This window comes from Homo sapiens, chromosome 16 (assembly GCF_000001405.40).
Source record: "Homo sapiens chromosome 16, GRCh38.p14 Primary Assembly".
Lineage (NCBI taxonomy): Eukaryota > Metazoa > Chordata > Mammalia > Primates > Hominidae > Homo > Homo sapiens.
In genome coordinates, this window is record NC_000016.10 from 84,642,646 (window position 1) to 84,667,686 (window position 25,041).

At 50.9% G+C, this 25,041-nt stretch overlaps 1 protein-coding gene and 1 long non-coding RNA gene across 13 annotated transcripts, besides 5 other annotated features; one reads left to right on the forward strand and one right to left on the reverse strand.

The window, feature by feature from the left end:
* Window positions 1-3: 3 nt before the first annotated feature.
* On the reverse strand, window positions 4-6,934 carry LOC105371376 (uncharacterized). 7 transcript variants are annotated; one of them, XR_007065153.1, is made up of 5 exons: window positions 6,763-6,931; window positions 6,558-6,683; window positions 3,791-3,911; window positions 2,539-2,659; window positions 4-1,163 (listed from the first exon to the last, which is right to left on the reverse strand). It is a non-coding gene; the product is annotated as an uncharacterized LOC105371376 (long non-coding RNA). The 7 variants fall into 7 exon arrangements; XR_007065152.1 differs by having other exon boundaries at window positions 2,539-2,662; XR_007065150.1 differs by having other exon boundaries at window positions 2,539-3,494.
* Window positions 5,530-5,699: a silencer, noted in NCBI's record as "silent region_7787". NCBI's record gives its function as "represses an Ori minimal core promoter by ATAC-STARR-seq in GM12878 lymphoblastoid cells {active_cell/tissue: GM12878}" and the evidence as "EXISTENCE:reporter gene assay evidence [ECO:0000049][PMID:35858748]".
* Window positions 5,760-5,949: a silencer, noted in NCBI's record as "silent region_7788". NCBI's record gives its function as "represses an Ori minimal core promoter by ATAC-STARR-seq in GM12878 lymphoblastoid cells {active_cell/tissue: GM12878}" and the evidence as "EXISTENCE:reporter gene assay evidence [ECO:0000049][PMID:35858748]".
* On the forward strand, window positions 5,866-25,041 carry KLHL36 (kelch like family member 36). 6 transcript variants are annotated; one of them, XM_047434649.1, is made up of 5 exons: window positions 5,866-6,242; window positions 8,207-8,285; window positions 14,226-15,299; window positions 17,115-17,272; window positions 18,933-25,041. In XM_047434649.1, the coding sequence occupies exons 2-5, from the start codon at window positions 8,223-8,225 to the stop codon at window positions 19,486-19,488; spliced, it is 1,851 nt and encodes a 616-aa protein (XP_047290605.1). In that variant the 5' UTR covers window positions 5,866-6,242; window positions 8,207-8,222; the 3' UTR covers window positions 19,489-25,041. The 6 variants fall into 6 exon arrangements, with proteins under 6 accessions (XP_047290605.1, NP_079007.2, NP_001290380.1 ...); NM_024731.4 differs by having other exon boundaries at window positions 5,866-6,004; XM_047434648.1 differs by lacking the exon at window positions 5,866-6,242 and adding an exon at window positions 6,295-6,421.
* Window positions 6,160-6,439: a silencer, noted in NCBI's record as "silent region_7789". NCBI's record gives its function as "represses an Ori minimal core promoter by ATAC-STARR-seq in GM12878 lymphoblastoid cells {active_cell/tissue: GM12878}" and the evidence as "EXISTENCE:reporter gene assay evidence [ECO:0000049][PMID:35858748]".
* Window positions 20,960-21,179: an enhancer, noted in NCBI's record as "active region_11252". NCBI's record gives its function as "activates an Ori minimal core promoter by ATAC-STARR-seq in GM12878 lymphoblastoid cells {active_cell/tissue: GM12878}" and the evidence as "EXISTENCE:reporter gene assay evidence [ECO:0000049][PMID:35858748]".
* Window positions 21,270-21,319: a silencer, noted in NCBI's record as "silent region_7790". NCBI's record gives its function as "represses an Ori minimal core promoter by ATAC-STARR-seq in GM12878 lymphoblastoid cells {active_cell/tissue: GM12878}" and the evidence as "EXISTENCE:reporter gene assay evidence [ECO:0000049][PMID:35858748]".

Sequence of the window (25,041 nt, forward strand, 5' to 3'; positions counted from 1 at the left end):
GTATTCATTTTTGAATCATTTCTATTTTAACAGGAATCAAAGGCTCAAGACAAAGAATACCTCTCTAAATGGCAGAAAAAGTGTCCATTTCCAAATGATTTCTGTTTTAGCAGGAATCAAAGCCTCGAGAGAAAGAACACCTCTCTAAATAGCAGAGTGTCTACCACCATCAGCAAAAGCTACAGTGTACAGGGCTTTACGTACCAGGCACTGTTCAAAGTAGTCAGCCTGTATTCATTCACGTAATTCTCACGACGGCTCCATGAGAGAGGAATAAGCGCTTCATTTAGAGATGGAGAAACTGAGGCACAACGGAGCTAAGTTGCTGGCCCAGTTCACACAGCTGGGAGTAGCCAGGTCAGGACTCCAATCCAGGCAAAGCAGAGAGAAAAATACTGGTGAGGAGGAGGGAGGAGGAAGTGGGACGTTCCAGCTGAGGAGAGGTCTTTTTTCCTTAATCTGATGTTAGGGGCCACCCAAGCACTGGGGCCAGACGCCCACCATGGCTCTGCGCATTTGCTGGTTTGGTGATCTGAGGACATCTGTTGCTTCTTGTCCTCTGGTTTAACAGTTACAAGTGTACAGGAGCATGTGGGCCAAGCATCCCGCGTGCGGACGTGATCTGGCTTGGCCTGCAGGCCTGCTCTTTCATGCCAGGCTGCAATTTTTTGAGATTACTCAACCTTCGGAAGGGAAGCTGGGCCAAGGACAGACCTTTGGTGAGAAGCAGGGGGAGTTTAGAGAATCAGCCCTCCTCCTCCTCCTCCTCCCAGCCTCCTCCCCCAGGAGACTCGGACTTGGAAACACCCAGCAGGGAAAATTGCTGCAGCAGCAGGTAGCAGTTATTATGGGACCTGGACCGCCCCTTCCAGGCCCAGCTGTTCTCTGGGAAAGCCTGGCGGCAGCTCTCACACCCTCTTCCAAATGGTCTTCAGAGGGAGACGGAGATGCTCCTCGCCCCGCCTGTTGATCTTCACCACTGCAACCTCCTGTGTCCCAGGCATGGTCAGCTTGCAGCCCTGGGGGCGGCTTCTGGTGTTCTGGTGAACTGGTTAACTGGGCACTGGCATAGATAGCCTGGGTTTCTCATCCTGGTTCACGTGCTTACCAGCTGTGTGATATCGGGTGAGTCATCTAATCATTCAGAACCTCAGTTTCCTCATCTGTAAAGTGGGGAGAACAATAGCATTGACCATAGGTTACTGTGAGGATTAGACAGGGGAGGGAGCAGAGCAGTTAGCACAGGGCCTGTGCATGAATTATGATCAAACTAGGCCTAACTTGCCCAGGCCCCGCCCCATGTTTTTGCTATTCTGGGCTTCCAGATGGTGTGCCTCTTTCACTGGGTACTCTTCTGTGACATTTGTTTCTGCACAGAGGTATTGAGGATGGAGATAACCTAAGCCTGGAGTGGTCGTCTTTGGTGACAGTGGCAATTGTTCCACCCAGGAAAGAAAGGAAGAAAGAAAGAAAGAAAGAAAGAAAGAAAGAAAGAAAGAAAGAAAGAAAGAAAGAAAGAAAGAAAGAGAGAGAGAGAGAGAGAAAGAAAGAAAGAAAGAAACGAAGGAAGGAAGGAAAAGAAAGAGGAAAGAAGGAAGGAAGGAAGAAGGGAAGGAAGGAAAGAAGGAAGGAAGGAAAGAAGGAAGGAGAGAGAAAGGAAGAAAAAAGGAAAAAAGGCACCATGTTGGGGAGAGAGTGTGCAAAAGAAAGGAACAAGCTTTTCTCCTGCTTTTTTGGAACAAAAGGTGGCCCACATTTTCATCCTGCACTGGGCCATGCAAAACATATAGCTGGCTGGCTCCATCGGATGGTGCCTGAATCTCAGAAGTGACAGTGTTGAGCTGCTGTTGGGGGCACCAATTAGGACAGGCTTTCAGGGGAGAGGCATGGTTTAGGGTCTTACAAATATGCAGACCTTTGGAGCCAGCAATTCCCCTTCACTGTCAGAGATGTGCATATGGATGTGTGAGCAAGGATGTTCACCACGGCATGATTCATAATAGAGACACCAGCTGGATGCCCAACAATGGGGGGAGGTCAAGGGCACAATCCATACTGAAGGATCAGGCACAGCCATTAAACATCATGTCATCAACGAGGACTTACTGACATGTGAAAAACTCATGACATTTGCAAAATGGGGAAAAAGTCAGCTACCAAGGAGTGTGCACCATAGGATCTCATTTGCATAGGCGTGCAGGGAATATATGCAGGAGAAAAATATTGAGCTGGTTTATCCTTAAATGCCAATAGCTGTTCTCCTCAGGTGGGTTATGTTTTCCTCTTCTGGGCCTGTTTTCCAACTGTCTGCACTGAGCACACATCACTGTCATCAGTGCACTGAGGTACTGTTGGGCAGTGGCCAAGGCTAGGGCTGCAGACACTGGAGGCAGACTCCCTGGGTTCAAAGCCCAGCTCTGCTCCTTACGAGTTCTGGGACCTTGAGCAAGGGATTTAACTTCTCCAGGACTCAGCTTCCCCATCTGCAAACAGGGAAAGTAATGATACCTTCCTCAAAGGATCAAGGTATTAACTCACCATGATAGGGTCATGGCTGATTGACTTGTTTGGCTGTCTTCCTAAAACCCCTGAAATTTTCTTCTTTATATCCCTGGCACCTACCACAGTGCCAGGCTTACAGCAGGTGTTCCTGAAAAGTCTGCTGAATGAACGAAGGAGGGAGTGCATGAATTCATGTAAGGATGGAGATCCACATCCCAGGGTACAGAGATAGTATCAAATGAGTTAATACATGCAGAGGGCTTACAGCACTGCCTAGTGCTTAGAAAACTGGAATTATCATTATGGCAAAGAAATTGTGTAAGAGGAAAATGTTGAGAGAACAATATGAACCAATTTTTTTGAATGATGTAGAAATGAGTGTTTGTTTTATTTTGTTTTGTTTTTGAGACAAGGTCTTGCTCTGTTACCCAGGCTGGAGTACAGTGGCACAACCACAGCTCACTGCAACCTCGACCTCGTGGGCTCAAGCAATCCTCCCACCTTAGCCTCCCAAGTAGCTGGGACTACAAATGCATGCAGCCATGACTGGCTGATGTTTAATTTTTTTTTGTACAGACGAGAGTCTTGCTATGTTGCCCAGGATGGTCTCGAACTCCTGAGCTCAAGTGATCCTTTTTCCTCCCAAAGTGCTGGAATTACCGGCATGAGCCACTACACATGGCTGTTTGGTTTTTTGTTTTGAACTTTTCTGTATTGAGAGTAGCTGAGTAAAGCATGCATTACTTTTATAATTTGGGAGGACACAAAACGTTACTGAAAGAAAAAGACTGAGAGAGTGGTTCACAAAGTGCTGTTGGGGAACGCAGGGTGAAGCCAAGTTAGCCGAGTCCACACCGTTTTCATGTCAAGGTCATGTGTGGATGAGCTTGTCTTAGGCCCTTACTCCGGCCCCCATACACCAGGTTGCACGTCTTCTCATTCATGATGAACACAACACCCGGAAGGCCGATGTTCATGCTGAGTTATAGGCTCTACAGCGAAATCTCTTGTTAGATAAATAGATAGATAGATAGATAGATAGCATAGATACCCATATATAGAGGTGCATGTATCCATTTATCTATATAAGAGTTATAGGCTCTTAAAATATCTACAGCTAAATCTCTTGTTAGACAGATAAATAGATATGATAGATACCCATATATAGAGGGGCATGTATCTATTTATCTACCTATATCTATTTATCAAGAGAATCTTTAACTCTAGCTGTAAAAAAGAATATGTCCAACTCTTGGTGCTCCGTGTATTGCCCCAACACAGTACTCACCACGCTAGGACCATTGCTGATTGACTTGTTTTCCTGTCTTCCTAAGAGCCCTGAAAGTTTCTTCTTTGTATCCCTGGCACCTACTACAGTGCCGGCCACACAGCAGGTGTTCCTGAAAAGTCTGTTGGATGAATGAGAGGCAGTGCATGAATTCATGTCAGAACAGAGATCCATCCACATGTCGGTATGGAGACAGAATAACAGGAGGATTAGCTTTGTCTGGGGTAGGGACAGGTCCAGGAAGGGTCAAAGACAGGCAAGTAAGGCTTGGCAGGGTGAATGTGTACAGTCCCCAAAGAAAAGGGGAGAGAGAGAGAGAGAGATGGGGGACAGCAATCCAGTCAGTGAGAACATCATTTAAAGATCCTTGGCTCACACCTGTAATCCCAGCACTTTGGGAGCCTGAGGCAGGCAGATCACCCGAGGTCAGCAGTTTGAGACCATCCTGGCCAATATGGTGAACCCCATCTCTACTAAAAATACAAAAATTAGCCAGGCGTGGTGGTGGGCGCCTGTAATCCCAGCTACTCAGGAGGCTGAGGCAGGAGAATCGCTTGAATCCAGGAAGTGGAGATTTCAGTGAGTTGAGATTGAGCCGTTGCACTCTAGCCGGGGTGACAGAAAGACTCTGTCTCAAAAAAATAAATAACCATCCCGGCTAACACGGTGAAACCCCGTCTCTACTAAAAATACAAAAAATTAGCCGGGCGAGGTGGTGGACGCCTGTAGTCCCAGCTACTTGGGAGGCTGAGGCAGGAGAATGGCGTGAACCCGGGAGGCGGAGCTTGCAGTGAGCCGAGATCCCGCCACTGCACTCCAGCCTGGGCGACAGAGCGAGACTCCGTCTCAAAAAAAAAAAGAAAAAAAATAAATAAATAAATAAATAAAATAAATAAATAAATAATTAAAAAATAAAGATCCTGTAAGTGGGCTGGGTGTGCTGGCTCACACATGTCATCCCAGCACTTTGGGATACCGAGGCACGAGGATCGCTTGAGCCCAGGGGTTCAAGACCAGCTTGGACAACAAACTGAAACCCTGTCTCTATAAAAATCAAAGAAAAAAAAATAGCCAGGTGTGGCAGCCGGCACCTGTGGTCTCAGCTGCATGAAAGACTGAGGCAGGAGGATCACTTGAGCCTGGGAGGTGGAGGCTGTAGTGAGCACTACACAAAAGAAATCGCTGATCCTTCAGCAGCCATTTCCCACTCCAGCAACTCCCCGCCCCTGGCAACCACTCATCTACTTTCTGTCTCTATGGATTGGCTTGTTCCGGACATTTCACATACACGGAATCATACAGTGTGTGGTCTTTTGTGTCTGGCTTCTTTCACTAAGTATTACATCTCCAAGGTTCATCCCGCTGTAGCATGAGCGAAGTGTGACAATTGATAGATGGATCGATGAAGGTTACATTCATTCATTCCATACACATTTACTGAGCACCTACTGTGTGCCAGTCTTGGCGACGACCCAGTCAGGAATAGAACTAACAGTAAACCCTGCCCTGGAGGGCTTCTGGTAGGGAGGAGAGACAATAAACCGAATAAACTAGTACATTATTTGGAATATTAGACGCTGATAAGAGCTCAAGTGAAGCATGGGGTTGGAAGTTGGGTGCAGAGAGAGGGGCTGTGACTTCGAGCAGAGCGGTCAGCAAAGGCCTCGCCGCAGGGTGGCCGCAGGGACGCTCCCGCTCAGCCCGGAAGGAGGCGAGAGGCGCGGTGCCCGTCCCGGCGACTCTGGGCCAGCAAAGAGCTCCCAGCGCACGCGTCGGTGCCTCGAGGCCCGGGACCCTGCGTGTCTGGTCCCCGCCGTGGCCCTGCGTCCGTGACGGTGGGTGGCACCAGGGAGCATTTCGCGCGGCGGGGCTGGGGCCTGCCTTTGAAGGGACGGAGTCGGGCGTCGTGGTGGGGTGGACACCGGGGATCCCCGGGGCGCGGACGAGGGGGGCGTCCACCCTGCGAGCTCACCCCACGGCCCCCGCGTCCCGCCCTCAGCCGCAGGCCCCGCCCCGCGCCGCCCGGCCCCGCCTCCCCGCGGCCGCCGCCATTGGCCGCGCGCGCCGCCTCCGCCCTCGGCCTCGCACTTCCTGGCGGAGCCATGGCTGCGCAGCGGGCTGGCCGGGGGTCTCCTGAACCCGGGCCCCGCCGCCCCGACCGCCCGGCCCCGCCGCCGGGGCTGTCCCCGCCGCGTCCGTAGCGCGTCCTGCCAGGTGGGCCTCCGCGCGCGCCCACCCTCCAGCCCGGGACCGCCAGGAAGCCGCGCCCGGCCGGGGCGGGGAGCTGGCGGAGATCGGGAGGGTCCCCGGCCACCGCGAGCCGCGACCCCCCTGCGCCCCTTGGTGCCGGGGCGGGCGGGTGGGCGAGTGGGGGCGCCGCGGCCGGGGGAGGGGCCGCCGCCCCCGCAGGTGACACAGGTGCGGCCTGTGCGGACCGCCCCGCGCGTGGCAGGTGAGTGGCCCCCGCCCCGGGCCGTCCCGACTCCGCCTCCTCGCCGCCGGCTGGAGCCTGCTGGGCGGCCGTTGCGCTGAGTTCCGCCTGGGCTGCGGGGTCCGAGCGAACGACAGCGGCGTCCCCGGAGACCCCGCCGGCGAGCCGGTGTCAGCAGCGTCGCTTTCTCCAACGCTGAGGTCGGGAGGGAGCTTGGGGAGGAGGCGCTCTGGGAAACCCCCGGCCGGACGGGGCCTGCGGTCCCATGTTTACTGGAAGACCTTTTCCAGTGACCTGGGATTGTCACTGTGCTTGGGGGTGGCCTTGACCCTTCACCTGCTTCCAAAAAGCGTCGGAGGCCGCTGACGTCCAACACGGGTGGAAATCAGACCCCACCCCCACGCACTTGCAGGAGACAGCAGGGAGCCTCCGGCCCCGCGAACTCTCTCTAGGTATCTTGGCCTAGAAAATAAAGCGTTGAGCGTTAGAAGGCCTGGTTGATTCTGGGCAGGCTGCCTGGGGCGGTGGAGAGAGAGGGCACCTGCTGCTTGCTGTTCTGTGACCTTGGGCAACCCCCCCTGGGGCACCCGAGCGCCAGGTCTCACTGTGGGAACGACGGTGTCACCTCTCAGCGTGAAGGTGGAATGAAGTCGAGTCCGCGGTGGGCACCGCACCAACGCTGGGTTTCTTCTCTTCCCTCTCTGGGCTCTCCAGCATCCTAGGGGAGGGCCGGGGTGGGAACAGCTTGTCATTGTCACAAAGTTTCTAGTTTGTCGAGAGGAATCCAGTTGCCCCTTCTCTCCCTAGGGGAGTTGCACGGGACGGACTGTGCCCGAATTCATTCCTTCCATGGGAACACTGGAGTGCCCTCCCTGTGTCCCCAGTTATCTAAGAACAGTGCTGACTTCTTGTCACATTGTTCTTTATTAGTGAAGACTATTTGTTCAATAGGTAACAAACTCTTCTCATGAACTCAAATAGCGGGGGAAAAAAATCCTCTTTAAAACCTTCGTCTCAGTATGTGACTTGTGCTAATATTAGTTGGCAAAGTCCCTTCTCTGTGTTCCCTTCCATCTTTGAAGCACCTGCCCCTCCCCCTGCCTCCCCCGCCCCCCACACACCAAAGCTTAACTCTGTCTGCAGTGATCCCCCACCCAAGAGCCAGGCAGTGTAGCCTAAGAGTTAAGAGCATGGGCGCTTCCCTGAGCTGGAATCCCAATTCTGCCAGTTCCCAGCTGTGTGACGCCGGGCAGCTTATTTCACCTCACTGCTCTCAGCATCCTCCAGTCACAGTGCTGGCCTCATGGGGTTGCAGTGGGGACTAAGTGAAGATGCAGAGAAGCACTTGGGGACAGTGTGTGTCTAGAATGTACTGTGTACATGGTAGTCATCACTGTACCACATCCTCATCTGCATCATGATATTTTTAAAGTGTGATACTCTCGAACCCGGGCCTCATTCAGCAGCGTGTCATGGTGATGGATCCAGGTTTTGAAGCTGGACAGACCGAGGCGTGATTCTCGGCCGTTTACTAGCTTTGTGACCATGAGATCAATATCCTCATCTGTGAAATGAAATAAGTGATATCAGCCTGGCCAAGTATAATCTTTGTGGGGGTTAAATGAGATGGCACACTTAAGTCACTTAGCTTGGTTCGAGGGCTGTAGTCTGGGCTCCGAAATGATAACTTATCATTATAACCTTGATGTAGCCAAAAGGTAATTATTTGTAGGAAGTGAACCAAATGACATGATATCAGATTTTAGATGATAAAGGAATGGGAGTTAAATGTTCTGTCCAATTCTAACAACCCGATGATTTCTCAACTCGGTGTAAAAGAGTTCTTTGTAGTGCACGGTCCTCCCTCCCTCCTTCTTCCGTGTGACTGTTTTCACTGTCATCCTTGGTATCTGCTAGCAGGGCCTGAAATTAATGAATGACCTAGAGTTATGACTGCATGCTCAGAAATCCTGTTCTTCTCCTAGGGCTGAAATCTCTTTAATGATGGAGGGAAGCAGGCAGACGCGAGTGTCTCGGCCATACAAGATCAGCGAATCATCAAAGGTCTGTGAATGTTCACTCACCACCTATGCAAATTGCCTAAGAAGTGTGATCCTTTTTCTGATTCACTCATTTCTAATCACAGACTGATTTTTTTGTCATTGGTGTTGTCAGTCTCCTTAATGACAAGTAAAGGTGGAAACGGGCAAGGAGCAGAAATTGTCATAAAATCAGACAGTGGGAAGTATGAGGGATGGTAGAGACGCTATGGCCAGATGTCTTCATTTTTCCATGTGACATTCCGGAGCTTTCTTTTTGTGACAACTTGACTCATTCGTTAACCCAAGGAGGTGGATGGGACAGGAAGAAAACTGGGATTCCCATGCCTGCTTGGGGGCTCAAAAACTCCAAGGACAGGTCCATTGAGAACCCAGCCTTCTACCTTAGGGTGAGGGCAACACACCGTGTACCCGGACCCCAAGGGCCTGGAGTCGTCTTCCCTGGTCATGATTCCCTGCGACCTAAGAGCAAGTGAGGGCAAGTTCCCCAGAGCCAGGCTACTGGGGGAGTTCTAATTAGAAATATGTAGCCTGTTCCCACCAGCCACATTAAAATCCAAGAGCCAGACCCGGCTGCTATACTTTCCACAAACTCCTGTCCCCACAGCTGCTGTTGGTAAAGAGTGGGGGAGCCATTGGTATGAGGTTCCTGGTAACCTGTTTCCCCGTTATAAATATTCGTAATGCCCTCTGTTCTTTAGAGGTATCCCTTTTGGAGATTAAATCTTATGGTTACCTCAGATCATGGATTCTCAATGAGTATGATATTGCCCTGAAGTGGGAGAAAATTGGTTCTCGGGAGGGTGGAAGGAATTTTACTCCTTTTATGCATAAGACACAATTATACATACAGTACATGAGCAGACATACAGTGCATCTGTGATGTTAAGATTTTGCTGGGGAGGCTATTAGGGAAAAAAATCTTAAAAGCCTTCTTGTGGGGCAATAATGAAAAAAGATACAGAAACACTTCTTTAGATGAAGGGAGCTGGCAGCAGCCTATAGAGTTGAGAAAAAGGGGGAAAGAGATTCTACAGATTCTAAAAGAAAAACTGGCTGTCATTTTCAAGAGAGGTTGGCTCTCTTGAGATATGACCTCCTGTTCTCACGTGAGTTCCCCAAGAAGGTTCCTGCCAAGCCCAGCTTTATCGATTGTGAAAACCCAGAGAGGTCTCGCCGCTCGCTCACAAGGGCTTTGTTTGGGAGCTTAGCTTGGGAGACACTGCTGCTTTCTAAGTTTGACAGCACTGGAAGTCTTTGTCCATTAATGCCAGGACCCTGAGTTTGTTTCTGTCTGAACTGAATCTCTTAGGACTAGGCTTCTGTATCACTGGATGATGTTTCTAACTTTTTTTTTTTTTCGAGACAGGGTCTTGCTCTGTCACTTAGGTTGGAGTACAGTGGTGCGATCATAGCTCACTGCAGCCTCTACCTCCTGGGCTCAAGTGAGCCTCCCACCTCAGCCTCCTGAGGAGCTGGGAATACAGGTGCATGCCACCATGCCCAGCTAATTTTTGTATTTTTAGTAGAGACGGGGTTTCACCATGTTGGCCAGGATGGTCTTGATCTCTTGACCTCGTGACCCGCCAGCCTTGGCCTCCCAAAGTGCTGGGATTACAGGCGCGAGCCACCATGACTGGCCTGTTTCTAACTTTTTATTTTTAAAAAGTGTACCCATTAATTTCTAGACATTAAACACACCTATGTTGCCAGCACCCAGATGGGTAAAAAACAGAATACTACCAAACCCTCCCAGTTGTTACACTCAAGATAGTCGCTGTCCCAACCCCACCGCTGTGGTTTGATCTGCTTTTGAACTTTGTCTAAACGGGATCCGAGGTCGGGTACTCTTGTGTGTGGTTTCTTTTGTGCAACATTGTGCCTCTGAGCCTCACCCGTGTTGCTGCATGTAGTTGGTAGTGGTAGGTTTTGCTTTCTCAGCATGTTGGTGTCTTCCCACTGTGTGGCCACAGTGTCTGTTCACCTGTCTGCCCTAAGATGTGTTGCTCAGCCAGGCACAGTGGCTCACGCCTGTAATCCCAGCACCCTGGGAGGCCGAGGCGGGAGGATCTCGTAAGCTCGGAGTTTGAGACCAGCTTGGACAACACGGCTAAACCTCATCTCTACAAAAGATACAAAAATTAGCCGAGCCTGGTGGCATACACCTGTAGTCCCAGCTCCTCAGGAGGCCGAGGTGGGAGGCTCACTTGAGCCCAGGAGGTAGAGGTTGCAGTGAGCTATGATCGCACCACTGTACTCCAACCTAAGTGACAGAGCGAGACCCTGTCTCAAAAAAAAAAAGTGTTGTTCCTTTTTGATGCTAAATTCTTTTTCCACGTCTAATACCTGGTACCTGCCGCCTCCTCCCAGGTGTAAGCCCCCGACAACCTGAGTTTCTCCCTCTACTTGGCCTTGCATCTGATTAAGGCACTGAAATAGGAAATAAAGAAATGAACAAGACTCATATCATCAGAGAATGCTGTGGATTGGAGCTTCTAAGTTACCTGAAATGCGGAAACTCTGTTACCAATGTCCCTTTATAATTGGGAAATAGGCCAGGCGCAGTGGCTCACGCCTGGAATCCTAGAACTTTGGGAGGCTGAGGTGGATGGATCACTTGAAGTCAGGAGTTCGAGGCCAACATGGTGAAACCCCGTCTCTACTGATATATGTATATATGCCGGGAGTGGTGGCACCTGAGGTCAGGAGTTTAAGACCAGCCTGGCCAAAATGGCAAAACCCTGTCTCTACTAAAAAGACAAAATTAGCTGGGCATGGTGGTACATGCCGGTAGTCCCAGCTACTCAGGAGGCTGAGGCAGGAGAATCGCCTGAACCTGGGAGGCGGAGGTTGCAGTGAGCCGAGATCGAGCCACTGCACTCCAGCCTGGGCAACAGAGGGAGGCTCTGTATCCAAAAAAAAAAAAAAAAAAAGGGAACTCGTGTGCCTGTGTTTTTGGAAAGTTGTCTATGCAGCTGTGCTAAAACACCAGAAGCAGATTGCAGCTGATTGTACCCGGGTACAGCATCACTCCAGCCCACTTAGAGCAGAAACCCAGTTTTGGAAACAACACTGCTCTTGCCCCCTGCCCCAGCTCACTGGAGCTGGTGTCTCCCCTCGGCAGCCGTTCACTGGGGCTTTCCCCAGTCCTGCCCCCTGGGCTCTTTCCCTTTTGACACTGCAGTCTGGGGTTGTGTGTATCTCCGTCTAAGCATGGTAGGGCCAGCACCCTCACCAGCGTGGAGACAGCCAGGGTCCCCGGGTGGCAGATAGCCGCCTCATGCCCTCATATGCGTCTCTCAGGCCGCTAAGCCTGTACTATGACTTGATCACCGCCACTGTAGTACTTTTTAATTTCCTTCCTTCAGCTCACACCCAAGAGGGGCCTCCAGTCAATGTCTGTAGAAGCACTGACCATTCCTGCATAATTAGAAGCTGAGGCCTAGCACGGTGGCTTATACCTGTAATCCCAGCACATTGGGAGGCTGAGGCAGGAGGATCGTTTGAACTCAGGAGCTGAAGACCAGCCTGGGCAATGTAGTGAGACCCCATTTCTACAAAAAATAAAAGTAAAAAATAGCTGGATATGGTGGCACACACCTGTAGTCCCAGCTGCCAAGGAAGCTGAAGTGGAGGGATTGCTTGAGACTAGTTTTGTTTTGTTTTGTTTTGTTTTGTTTTGTTTTGTTTTGTTTTGTTTTGTTTTGTTTTTGAGATGGCGTTTTGTTCGTGTTGCCCAGGCTGGAGTGCAGTGGCTCACTGCAACCTCCGCCTCCGGAGTGCAAGTGATTCTCCTGCGTCAGCCTCCTGAGTAGCTAGGATGACAGGCGCCCGCCACCACAACCAGCTAATTTTGTATTTTTACTAGAGACGGGGTTTCACCATGTTGGTCAGGCTGGTCTCGAACTCCTGACCTCAGGTGACCTGCCCACCTCGGCCTCCCAAAGTACTGGGATTCCAGGCATGAGCCACCACGCCCGGCTGAGCCTAGGAGTTTCAGGCCGCAGTGATCTCTGATCTACTGTTGCATGCCAGCCTGGGAAACAGAGCAAGACCCTGTTTCTAAAAATGAGAAAAAATTTAAAAGCCCGGTGTAGGCCAGCCTGGCTCTCTTTGTGGGTAACCAGGATAAATAGAGATCTCCACGTGTGTGACCTGTGAACTGAAAAGCCAGCCTGGAATGGAAGAGCGGGAGAGCCCGTCCTCTGAACTCAGAAGGAAATGCCAAGTCGGATCTGTCTGGCATCCTCCACAGGCTGTGAGAATGTGGCCTGCTCCTGTAGCATGGACAGAGAAGTTGCTGTTGGAATTGACTGGATGTGGAAATACCACAGGGAAATAAAGTGTCTCAATGACAAACGCATGTATGGCAACAAAAAGAAGATTTGAAAGGGAAGAAAAAAATAAAACCCACTGCTGTAGGACACATGTTAAGAAGCAACTTTTAAGAATTCAGAGCCTGGGCAGTTTAGGGAGACGTTGTCCCTGCAAATTATAAAAATCAGACAGGCGTGGTAGCGTGTGCCTGTAGTCCCAGTTACTCAGGAGGCTAAGGCGGAAGAATCACTTGAGCCCAGGAGGTCAAGGGCGACATAGTGAGACCTCGTCTCTACAAAAAAATTTTAAAATTAGCCAGGCATGGTGGCACACACCCGTAGTCCCAGCTACTCAGGAGGCTGAGGTGGGAGAATCACTTGAGCCCAGGAGGTCAAGGGTGCAGTGAGCCGAGATTGTGCCACTGCACTCCAGCCTGGGCAACAGAGTGAGACCCTGTCTCAAAAAAAAAAAAAAAAAAGTCGAACCACATAGCTGCTAATACCTAATAGCCCTCGGTCAGTTTTCTTCCTCCAACCACATTTCCCCTCTTCAGGCTAGTGCCCAGCCAGTTCTTCACCTCAGTCACCCTGGAATAGACCAGCTATCTATGTGATAGTTTTCAGTTACCTGTTTCTCCCTATGTTGAATTCATTTATTTATTTATTTAGAGACAGGGTTTCTTTTTGTCGTCCAGGCTGGAGTGCAGTGGCACAATCATGGCTCACTGCAGCCTCAAGCTCCTGGGCTTGAGCGATCCTCCTGCCTCAGCCTCCTGAGCAGCTGGGACTACAGGCGAATGCCACCACGCCCACCTAATTTTTAAATATTTTGTTAAGACAGGAATCTCGCTATGTTGCCCAGGTTGGTCTCGAACTTCCTGGCCTCAAGTGATTCTCCCGTCTCAGTCTCACAAAGCATTGAGATTACAGGCATGAGCCACCATGCCTGGCTTGAATTGTTGTGTTGTTTGGTTTTGGGTTTTTTTGGTTTGTTTTTTGTTTTTTCTTGTTTGTTTTGTTTTGTTTGTTTGTTTTTTGTTTTTTGAGACGGAGTTCTTGCTCTGTCTCCCAGGCTGGAGTGTAGTGGTGTGCTCTTGGCTCACTGCAACCTCCATCTCCTGGGTTCAAGCAATTCTCCTGCCTCAGCCTCCTGAGTAGCTAGGATTACAGGCACACGCCACCATGCCTGGCTAAATTTTGTATTTTTAGTAGAGACAGGGTTTCACCATGTTGGCCAGGCTGCTCTCAAACTCCAGTAGCCGGGCTGTCGTCCCAGCTACTCAGGAGGCTGAGGCAGGAGAATCACTTGAACCCGGGAGGCAGAGGTTGCAGTGAGCTGAGGTTGTGCCACTGCACTCCAGCCTGGGCGACAGAGCAAGGCTCTGTGTCAAAAAAAAAAAAAGAAAGAAAGAAAGAAAGAAGTTATATTAATAAGAGAAGGAAAAAAAAAACCACGATACACAGGCATACTCAGAAACACCTGTACTTCCTGCAGTGCCCTCTGATGCAGCATTTTATTTCCTGTTTTCTTCAGTTTCATTTTGTTGAAAATGCTGGTCAGGACCCACTGGGTTGGACCAGGGCCGAGCAGGCTGCTGCGCCGTTTCTAATGTGTCTTCTCTGTCCAGGTATACCGCTGGGCCGACCACTCAAGCACGGTGCTGCAGCGGCTGAACGAGCAGCGTCTCCGCGGGCTCTTCTGCGACGTCGTCCTGGTGGCCGATGAGCAGCGTGTGCCAGCCCATCGCAACCTGCTGGCCGTGTGCAGCGACTACTTCAACTCCATGTTCACCATCGGCATGCGGGAAGCTTTCCAGAAGGAGGTGGAGCTGATCGGCGCCTCCTACATTGGGCTCAAGGCCGTGGTGGACTTCCTGTACGGCGGGGAGCTGGTGCTGGATGGCGGCAACATTGACTACGTCCTGGAGACGGCTCACCTGCTGCAGATCTGGACGGTGGTAGACTTCTGCTGTGAGTACCTGGAGCAGGAGGTGAGCGAGGACAACTACCTGTACCTGCAGGAGCTGGCCTCCATCTACAGCCTCAAGCGGCTTGATGCCTTCATCGATGGCTTCATCCTGAACCACTTCGGCACGCTGTCCTTTACGCCCGACTTCCTGCAGAACGTCTCCATGCAGAAGCTGTGTGTCTACCTGAGCAGCAGCGAGGTGCAGCGGGAGTGTGAGCACGACCTCCTGCAGGCCGCCCTGCAGTGGCTGACGCAGCAGCCCGAGCGCGAGGCCCACGCCCGCCAGGTGCTGGAGAACATCCACTTCCCGCTCATCCCCAAGAACGACCTGCTGCACCGCGTCAAGCCGGCCGTGTGCTCGCTGCTGCCCAAGGAGGCCAACTGCGAGGGCTTCATCGAGGAGGCCGTGCGCTACCACAACAACCTGGCGGCCCAGCCCGTCATGCAGACCAAGCGCACGGCGCTGCGCACCAACCAGGAGCGCCTGCTGTTTGTGGGCGGCGAGGTCTCCGAGCGGTGTCTGGAGCTCAGTGACGACACCTGCTACCTGGACGCCAAGAGCGAGCAGTGGGTCAAAGAGACGCCGCTGCCCGCCCGGCGGAGCCACCACTGTGTCGCGGTGCTGGGGGGCTTCATCTTCATCGCCGGCGGCAGCTTCTCACGGGACAACGGAGGGGATGCGGCCTCCAATCTTCTTTATAGGTATGACCCCCGCTGTAAACAGTGGATCAAGGTGAGATTAAAGCCAGATTATTTCTTTTCTCTTGAGGACTCTCTCGGTTTCCTTAACCTAGCCTTGACTTTCCTTACCTCTCTGGGGCCTTGACAACTATCCTGCTTCTGAATGAGGTGTGATGATAAAGTGACGAGCAGAATACCCCGGGGCCTACATCCTGGACAGGGAGAGGGAGAGCCGACCCACCCCTTCGAGGGGTCCGTCATCGTTCAGAGCAGCACTGCCTGGCGGGGCTTTCTGTGCAGATGGAAGGGTCTGTCTGTACTTCCCGATACGGTAGCCACAGCCGCATGTGGCGACTGAGCACTTGAAATGTGGCCAGTGCGACTGAAGAAGTCAATTTTCAATTTTATTTCACTTTAACCGATTGACGTGTAAGTGTATGTGGCCGCACGAGGCGTGGCTACCCTATTGGACAGTAGCATGGGTCTAGATGTTTGATCCATGGTTCAACATCCCCAGGTCCTGGAGTCTCTGTGGGGCTCCTCTGGAAGCATTTTGGGAGATAGTTTAAGGAGACCACTAGTGCTCACGCCTGGCCCTTGGGCATGTATTGTGTCCTGATTCTGGGAAGAGCGTGGGCCTTGATGTCAGACCTGAGGTCTCATCCCAGCCTGGCTAAGTCATAGCTAGGAAATTTCAGATTCTTGTCCTCTCCACATTTTGGATTCCCCTTCTGGGAATACGTGGGGGACAGGGAGTGCAGTAGCTCATGTTGACTGGCAAGCCCCTGGCGTAGGGAAGGTGTCTCCTTTCTGCTGGGAGCGCTCTCCAGCCACTCGGTCCCCGGGACAGTCCATCTCAGCCTCTATACTCACACCTCAGCGTCGCGCCCAGCTCAGTGCTGTTCTCAGCTCAAAACCCAGTCAGAATGGACTCCAGCTGACCTTTTGATTTTACTCTCAGAAATCTGAGACTGCCCTCCAAGGTCGAAGTGTCACCACTGGAAAGGGTCCCTGGCTTTGGAGCCTCCTCCCGAAGCCTGGCAGCAGTGGCAGCAGTGTGTTTGCCTTGGATTCGTTTAAAAAAAGAAAAAAAAAAGTTGGCTCTTCTACTTTTTGTGTGTGTGTGTGTGAGACAGAGTTGTTCTGTCACCCAAGCTGGAGTGCAGTGGCACGATCTCGGCTAATTGCAACCTCTGCCTCCCAGGTTCAAACAATTCTGGCGCCTCAACCTACTGAGTAGCTGGAATTACAGGCGCCTGCCACCACGCCCGGCTAATTTTTGTATTTTCAGTAGAGACGGGGTTTCACCATGTTGGCCAGGCTGGTCTCGAACTCCGTGACCTCAGGTAATCCACCCACCTTGGCTTCCCAAAGTGCCAGGATTACAGGCGTGAGCCACCGCGCCCAGCCTCTTCTGTTTAATTTCCTGTCGAATGCCACGTCCTGCTCTGTTAACACGGAGTGGCAGAGCAGCACTAACTTTACAAATCTGATGTGGGGAGAGGAAAGATGAATTTTTATTTCATAAAGCCACTAGATCAGCAATTCTGACCCCTGTGACCACAGAGTTCCCATCCACGCGGCTAACGACATGACCAGAGAAGTTCGGGGGTTCAGAGCATCTCCATCCCCCTTTTGGGGACTCAGAGCGTCTCCATCCCACTTTTGGGGATTCAGAGCATCTTGGTGAAACCTCGGGGGCTCAGAGCTCCCACCTGAAGAAGCCCTCTTTATTCAGGTGCAGTTCCCTTTCCCAAACATTCTCCGGGGTTGTGCATTCCGCAGACACATTTGGGAACCGCAGCGCCAGATGTTGATGCTGTCCCGGGTTCGGGGAAGGGAAGGTACAGGTATCTCAACTCCACAGGTGGCCTCCATGAACCAGCGCCGTGTGGATTTCTACCTTGCCTCCATCGAAGACATGCTGGTGGCCATCGGCGGCCGGAATGAGAACGGAGCGCTCTCTTCAGTAGAGACGTACAGTCCCAAGACTGACTCCTGGTCCTATGTGGCCGGCTTGCCAAGGTGATCTGGGGCTTGGTGGAAGGTTCTCCAAATGGGATGTTTTTAAGGGACATAGTTCAGTCCACGTGCCTCACTTTCTGGGCATGTTGGCCTCCAATTCCAGGAATGAAATCTTCCGGCTTGTCAGGAAGAGTGGGTACACCATGAGGGGCGGAGGGCGTGACGGTGCACAGTCCGGGCTCCGGTTTCAGACTTAGGGCAAGGGTCAGCTCTGCCGCCATGACGGACATCCCTCCATGGCTGAGTGTGTGCAGTTGCTGAGCTTCAGAGGGTGAGGCCTGACCTGAGGATCTCCCTGAGCTTGGGCAGGAGGAGTTCAAAGAGATGGGGGTATATGTGCTAGATCTAAGCCTCAGGCATGGGTCTTCACCCCGCTCGGCCTTTAGTTCCTCATCTGTAGAGGTAGACGATAATGATACCCACCCCACAGCACTGTTGTGCAGAGCAGATGCAGTGCTGCTTGTGAAACCTGCATCCACATGCAGGGAGTGCCCCAGGGTGGCCGCCTCACCCTCCTCAGTCTCCCCTGCGTTCCGATGTGCATGTATCGAGCATTTATTATCTCCATGGGATTAGCAGAAGGTGCACACCATTTTTTCCACCAGTTCCCTGTTGCCGCACCCAGCAGTGCACTTTCTGAACCAGTCTTTGCTGTGGAATACATCCAGGTGTCCGTAAGAGTTAGAAGTGTGTGGGGTAAGCGCTCGTATTTTTGTTTTTCTGAGAGAGAGTCTCTCTCTGTCACCCAGGCTGGAGTGCAGTGGCGCGATCTCGGCTCACTGCAATCTCTGCCTCCTGAACTCAAGCAGTTCTCCTGCCTCAGCCTTCTGAGTAGCTGGGACTGCAGGCGCCTGCCACCACACCCAGCTAAGTTTTGTATTTTTGGTAGAGACAGGATTTCATCATGTTAGCCAGGCTGGTCTTGAACTCCTAGCCTCAAGAGATCCACCCACCTCACCCTCACAAAGTGCTGGGATTACAGGCATGAGCCACTGCACCTGGCCATATTGATCCTTTCTTATTCACTAAAGGCCCTGGTTTACATCAGGGTTCCCACTTCCTGGCACAGTTGTGTGGGTTTTGAGGAACACAAAGCAACATGAATCCACCATTACAGCATCACGCAGAATCATTTCACTGCCCTAAAGCCCACTGTGTGCGTGCTGTCCATCCCTCCCTCCCCTCTCCCCACAGTCCTGGCAGCCACTGATTTTGCTGTCTCTATGGTTTTAGGCAAAACTTTTCCCGAGTGCCAGCACAGTTAGAATTGGACTGTATGTCGTATTTCCTCTTTGATGTGTGATTCATCGGGTGCATGTGTGCCTGCTAGCTCATTGTTCTAGTCGTTTCCAGCCATTGTGAAAAGGGTGATGGTCCTGTGATTATTCCCATTTCCCAGATGGGGCAAGGGAGACTCAGAGAGAGTGAAGCTGGGTTCTGGCCCAGGCGGCCTGACTGCAAAGCTGTCCACTTCCCCGCCCTGCCCTGCCATTTCTTTGCTAATGACGGCTACTGTCTATAGAGTGTTCATGGGGTGCCCACTCCCTATATTCTTAAATCCTCATGGCCCTCTAAGACGGCAGGCTGTTCCCCGGCTCGGAGGGGGTAAGCCTGGCACAGCCCTGAGCTCTCCCTCTGTCTCTGCCCGTCGACCCTGCAGGTTCACGTACGGCCACGCGGGCACCATCTACAAAGACTTCGTGTACATCTCGGGGGGCCACGACTACCAAATTGGCCCCTACCGCAAGAACCTGCTATGCTACGACCACCGGACAGACGTGTGGGAGGAGCGGCGGCCCATGACCACGGCGCGCGGCTGGCACAGCATGTGCAGCCTGGGTGACAGCATCTACTCCATCGGGGGCAGCGATGACAACATCGAGTCCATGGAGCGCTTCGACGTGCTGGGCGTGGAGGCCTACAGCCCGCAGTGCAACCAGTGGACCCGCGTGGCGCCGCTGCTGCACGCCAACAGCGAGTCGGGCGTGGCAGTGTGGGAGGGCCGCATCTACATCCTGGGCGGCTACAGCTGGGAGAACACTGCCTTCTCCAAGACCGTGCAGGTGTACGACCGCGAGGCCGACAAGTGGAGCAGGGGCGTCGACCTGCCCAAGGCCATCGCTGGCGGGTCCGCCTGTGTCTGCGCCCTGGAGCCACGGCCAGAGGACAAGAAGAAGAAAGGCAAAGGCAAGAGGCACCAGGACCGGGGCCAGTGACCCTAGCTGCGCCTCTTGGGACCATCCTCACCGTCACCTCCCAGGGCTCTGTAGACCAGCAGCAACTTCTTAGTATTCCGGAAACATTATGTACAACTTAGCAGCTTTTTTTACTTTTATGATTCTTGGTATTTCTATGATATCACAGTAACCAATTAAATACTATCTGTAACTTTACATATCTTGCTTGAATAACTAACCCTGGGCCCAGGCAGTGAGCAACCCCTTGTATCTTCACAGGTCTTTGCCCCGTGTTATGATTCCTCATGGGTCCTTGCTGACTGTCCCCCTGAGAGTAGCTGGCACGTGGGTAACACAGAAATTTCTGTAGTGAAGCTTGGGCCTCAAAGGGTTCTCTTAGGCCACCTAGTCCAAGCCTCCCCAAACCTGGCTGAACTTTTAAGAATACAGATGCGTGAGCCCCGCTCAGAATTATGGAATCCAAAACCACCAGGAACGGGGAGGAGGTGGTGCCCAGAAGCTGTATTTTAACTAGTTCTTGGAATTCTGGGTATTAGTCACATCTGGGAATCACTGGCAAGGTCCAGTGTGTTTGTTTTATAAATGAGTGCACAGAGACCACCCATGAGGGTGAGTGAGTGAGTGACCAGGGGCCACGCAGCTCGCTAGACTGTCAGATGAGACATGATGACTTCCCGCTGGGGAGCTGTTCTCCGTATCAGGTGAACGCTGTTTCTGAATAATTCCGTCTTTCCTCATTGGAAACCTTCTTGAATTCTAAAACGTTACAGGTAACCAAAAACGAAAAAAGGTATGAAGCTCTTTATACATATTTTTTTGTAATTTGTGCATTTTTTTCCTTTTTTTTTTTTCTGAACCCACTGTCTTTTATATTACTGATGTACTGAGCTCCCAAATCTGTTTATTTCTCAGGAAAGAAAAAGTGAGTGCTATGGAATTTGCCATCGTTCTCTGTGACTCTATCTTGAGGCGCTGTTGAAAGTTCCTGCACAGAGGAGCACATGTGGATCCCTGAGAAGGCAGTGGAGGGCTCCCTAACTCCCACGCCAGGTCCTGCCCCAGTTTTCTGCTTCTAAGTAGTTTCGTGCTGCTGGGCAAATTCTCGAACAAGTCCGTGTGTTCCCTCATCCACCCCGCTTAGCCACAGGATTAGATGGAATACCCTCCAGGCTCCTCCCGGGTGATAGGGCCATTCAGCCTCTGAGCTGTTCGTACCCGGATGGCATCCCCTTCAGGATGTGGAGCTGGCCTGCACTGACTCCTGCAAACAGTTCCTAAAGCAGGTGTCAGGGTCGCTTGCCCTTTAAGAGGGCTCTTAGCTGCCCGAGTGGATGAGAAACGTGCAGAACTATGGGAGGATAGGAGTGTGATGGGTTTTAAGCATGAGCCAAGGAAGGCATGAATGAGCTGTACCTCACCCAGCATCCGATGGCAGAGATCAGTAAACTTCAAGATGTGCTTCATCTTCAATCCTAGTCTAACACCAGTCTTCCTGCAGACAGTTCCGAGAGCAGGTCTCGATGTCACTTGCCCTTTAAGAGGGCTCTCAGCTGCTCGAGTGGATGAGGATCAATGTGTTAAGATTGATATTAGACTAGGAAAAAAATCTTAGTTAACTTTAATTTCCATTTCTTCTGCTTCTTTGCTGCCCCTCCTTTCCCTTCCCTTCAGGGTTTACTGTGGTTCTCACTGGTCTGTTTATGTAGCCATCCAGAAGAGATGAGAGCATTTTGGGGACTGAAAGCTTCAATAGCCAACTTACTGCCCTCTGTGGTTAGTGAGGAGGGCAGTCTGCATGTTCAGCTAGCTAGTTATTTGCATGTGAAGTCCCTGGAGGCTTACAAACTGTTGAGAGGTTCTGCGAGGCATACAAACAAACAGACCAAAAGGCTGGAAACTCTGCTTGGAGCTCTGCAGCATTCCGGTGTATGAAAGGTTCCGAGAAGTCTCAACCCAGCATTTCCAAACTTCTTTGAGCCTAAAAGTCGTTTGTCTCATACCTAGTCCCAGACCCCCACAAAACATGTTTTGCAGAACTTCTGCCAACTTTGGGATAGCTTACCCCCTTCCTATTCGGGAAAGGTTTTATTGCTTGTAGACCCCTCAGAAGGCAGGGTAGGGTGTACGTGGGCTGTTCTCCCCATCTCAGCCTGGGTCATGAACAAACGGGCAGTTGTTTGGCCTGAATCTCGGGGCAAGTTGGGGAGAGCACATAGAAAGACTCTGTGAGTGATTTGGGGAGTGGGATAGCTTTGACCTTGGAGAGAGGAGAGCCATTGGTTTTCAGCCTAAGCCAGCTCTTTTATGTTTTGCTTCTGGGACTTGTCCCTGGAAATGTGTGAGCTTCTGGCCTCTATTCTGATTTTCTTGTGCCTCATGAGTTACATACGACGTCCTGCGCTTCATATTTTGTGGTGTCTCTCCTGATACTATGAAGGTGGTTTGTAATTGACATGGCTTTGACCCTAATATTACTAAGGTTGGGACCACCCTTTTAAAGGGAGGATAAACAAGTTTCATCTTGTGGGTCAACTTCTAATATTTGATGGTGGCTACACTGTGACAAGAAAGGTTTTTGAGCTTGTTGGGGTCAGTGGATGGGCACAAGGGCACCCAGTGGTGGTGCCCGGGCCAGGTTTTTGTTACTTGTCTTTTTAAGTTGAAAATTCACCCTACTGTGCATGAAAATGGAACTGAAAATGGAAGAGACCATGCCTGGGCAACATGGCAAAACCCCATCTCTACAAAAAAATTACAAAAGATTAGCCAGGGATGGTGGGGCATGCAGTAGTCCCAGCTGCTTAGGAGGCTGAGGTGGGAGAATCACCTGAGCCTGGGAGGTTGAGGCTGCAGTGAGCTATGACCACACCACTGCACTCTAACCTGGGTGACGGAGTGAGACCCTGTCTCAAAAGAATAAAATGTTTTTTAACTCAGATGGGCAGAGTTTGGGCTGTGCTTATGCAGTGGCCATTTGAACCGCACAGTCACGAATGTGGGGTTTTAAACTAGAGTGATGAAGGCACAGGTGCTTGCAGGCTGCCATTTTGAGAGGGAAACAGCCACACATGTCATCATGTTAAACTTTCAGTGTTTCAAGCTATTCTGCTTGAATTTTGAAGACACCTGGATCTTTTTTTTTTTTTAACATTTCAAAATAAGCATGGCAGGCTTCTATTGAGGTTTGGACTTCTCTCATTTCTAAAGAATTAGAGTTGTAACTTCATATTAGTTGTAAGTTTGGGGTTTGGTCCTCACCCAAGTTGGAAAGCTGTTTGCTTAAGACATAGATGTATTATAATAATAGAAGGGAGGGAGTAGAAAGCTGATGAACCCTTGTTACTTATAGCAAACTTCCTGCTGTTTTAAATGCACAGAGATTATTTTATCAACTGTGGTTAGCACGCAATTGGTATTTTTATTGTTCTGCCATTTTATTGAGGCTATCAAGTGGGACTTCAGACCTGGCTCTGAGCAGGACCACACGTGTGTATTTATATTGAGTGCCCTCACTCATGATAAGGTGACTTCATGGAGACCCAGAAACTCACCCTAAGGGGTGTTCACCTTTGAGGTGGGCATCCAGATGCTGAGGGGAAGTGGGGTCCATCCTCTGAGGTCCAGGGGCCTACTTTGTGAGCTCAGTTGTGTTCACCTGTGGTTCAGTGTACCTCGGCCCCTAAGCCAAGTGATCGTTCAGTGACTTGCAGCAATGTGGGAAGTGAGGGGACCCCTGCCACACCCCCCACCACCCCCTGTAGAGTCACTGACCTTCATCCTTCACCCTGGTCCTCCATGGTGCAGCAGCATCTCATGGGCCTTGTGGCTGTCAGAGCCCGTGGTTGGAACCCCGTCCACTGGTCCCAAACCTGGAGGGGCAGCTGCAGATGAGGTTTAGACCTCCTGGTGTCTCCGTGGATTCTGAGTGCCCAGGAGGGGAGGGGAGGGGGTGGCATCCTGGCCTCTAGGATAAATGCCTGGAGTATAGGGCAGCGCCACGGGCACTTGGAGACCCTGTCCTGCGCATCTGCCAAGCCTGGCAGTTTTTAGAGTTTTTTGAAATGTTTTGATACTTTTTGATACAATTTGCTAATAACTGTTTTGTAGAATGCCTGCCGGGGTTTTCCACCTCATCCCTTTCCTCCGGCCCCTTGATTTGTGCTGGACAACAAATGGCAGCACCAGGACCTCGCCTCATGTGGCTTTGTCTTGGATCTTGCCCTTCTCCATCGCTGATGTGATACAGCTCTAGAATTTCGTGAAGTTGCATGCAAAGTTGCATGCAGCCCGTGGGTATGACTGTCTCAGGCCCCCAGCTCATTTGCCAAGAGGAAACCTTAACCCCCCTGAGAGGGTCTGCGTTTCTTCTAGAGCTCCTACCTCAGTGGTGTGCACAGAGTTGGAGACACCTGAGGGCTGGTCCACGTCTCACCTTTGCCATACGGGTCATTTCTTGATCAAATATATGACTGGGGTCCTGGTTTACTCCCGCCCACCCTTTCTTTTAAAGTATTCTTAACATGAAATCCACAAAAGCGGAAACAATGAACCATTCTTGCACTTTACAGAATCATTGTCCTTAGCTTTAGAGGTTGTTAATTTCTTGTTTTTAACATGAACAGAATGTGTGGTTCTGAAGGTGTGTGGGGGTCTCAAGAAATTGTCCTTTGGGGCCGGGCGCAGTGGCTCACGCCTGTACTCCCAGCACTCTGGGAGGCCAAGGGGGACGGATCACCTGAGGTCAAGAGTTTGAGACCACCCTGACCAACATGGTGAAACCCCGTCTCTACTAAAATACAAAAATTAGGCAGTCGTGGTCGCCTGTAATCTCAGCTCTTCCGGAGGCTGAGGCAGGAGAATCGCTTGAACCCAGGAGGCAGAGGTTGCAGTGAGCCGAGGTTGCGCCACTGCACTCCAGCCTGGGTGACCGAGTAAGACTGTCTCAAAAAAAAAAAAAAAAAAGAAAAGAAATTGTCCTTTGGTTGCCTTAGTTACCAGAGTTGAATGAATGTACACATTTCGGTAGTGGGGGGGCAGAGCGGATAACCCCTTCCTTGTCTGTTTCCTTTGAGAAAGGACACTCCACCTTTTCAAAGGTACTTAAAGCCATCTTTACAGATTGCTTGTAATGTAAGGAAAGAGTCATGTCCTTTGGATTGATTGAGGTTAAATCATCAACCACTAGCCCCCTTTCAAAATCAGCGAGATATTTGATGATTAAGTGATTCATTGGGTATGTTCTGGCTACTGATGTTACTGAAATCTGCAATCGTGTATGTTTTTTAATTTGTTGCTTTTGTATTTGTAATTTTATGACATTTCGAAGTTTCTGTGTCTTAACTCTTTTTAATTAATTTTCTGCACGTTGCTTTTTTCTCTTTGTTTTTAATTCCATACAGAGTATTCAATTCTTGAAACACATTAAAATAATTTGCTTGCTAGGGTATGGTTTATTTTATAATTACATTCCTAGTCTTGTGTGGTTATTGTAATGATGTCTGGTCCTAATTTCTCTGCCCGTATGAAAAAGAACCCCTTGCCTGTTGATCCTAAATATAATTTGGAAATTAA

What these genes read in the sequence shown, in the direction of transcription:
- KLHL36 (XM_047434649.1), top strand. Translation starts at nt 8,223, where the DNA reads ATGATGGAGGGAAGCAGGCAGACGCGAGTGTCTCGGCCATACAAGATC. An exon ending in AGATCAGCGAATCATCAAAG is followed by an intron (nt 8,286 to 14,225) that starts GTCTGTGAATGT and finishes TTCTCTGTCCAG; the next exon opens with GTATACCGCTGGGCCGACCA. An exon ending in TATGTGGCCGGCTTGCCAAG is followed by an intron (nt 17,273 to 18,932) that starts GTGATCTGGGGC and finishes TCGACCCTGCAG; the next exon opens with GTTCACGTACGGCCACGCGG.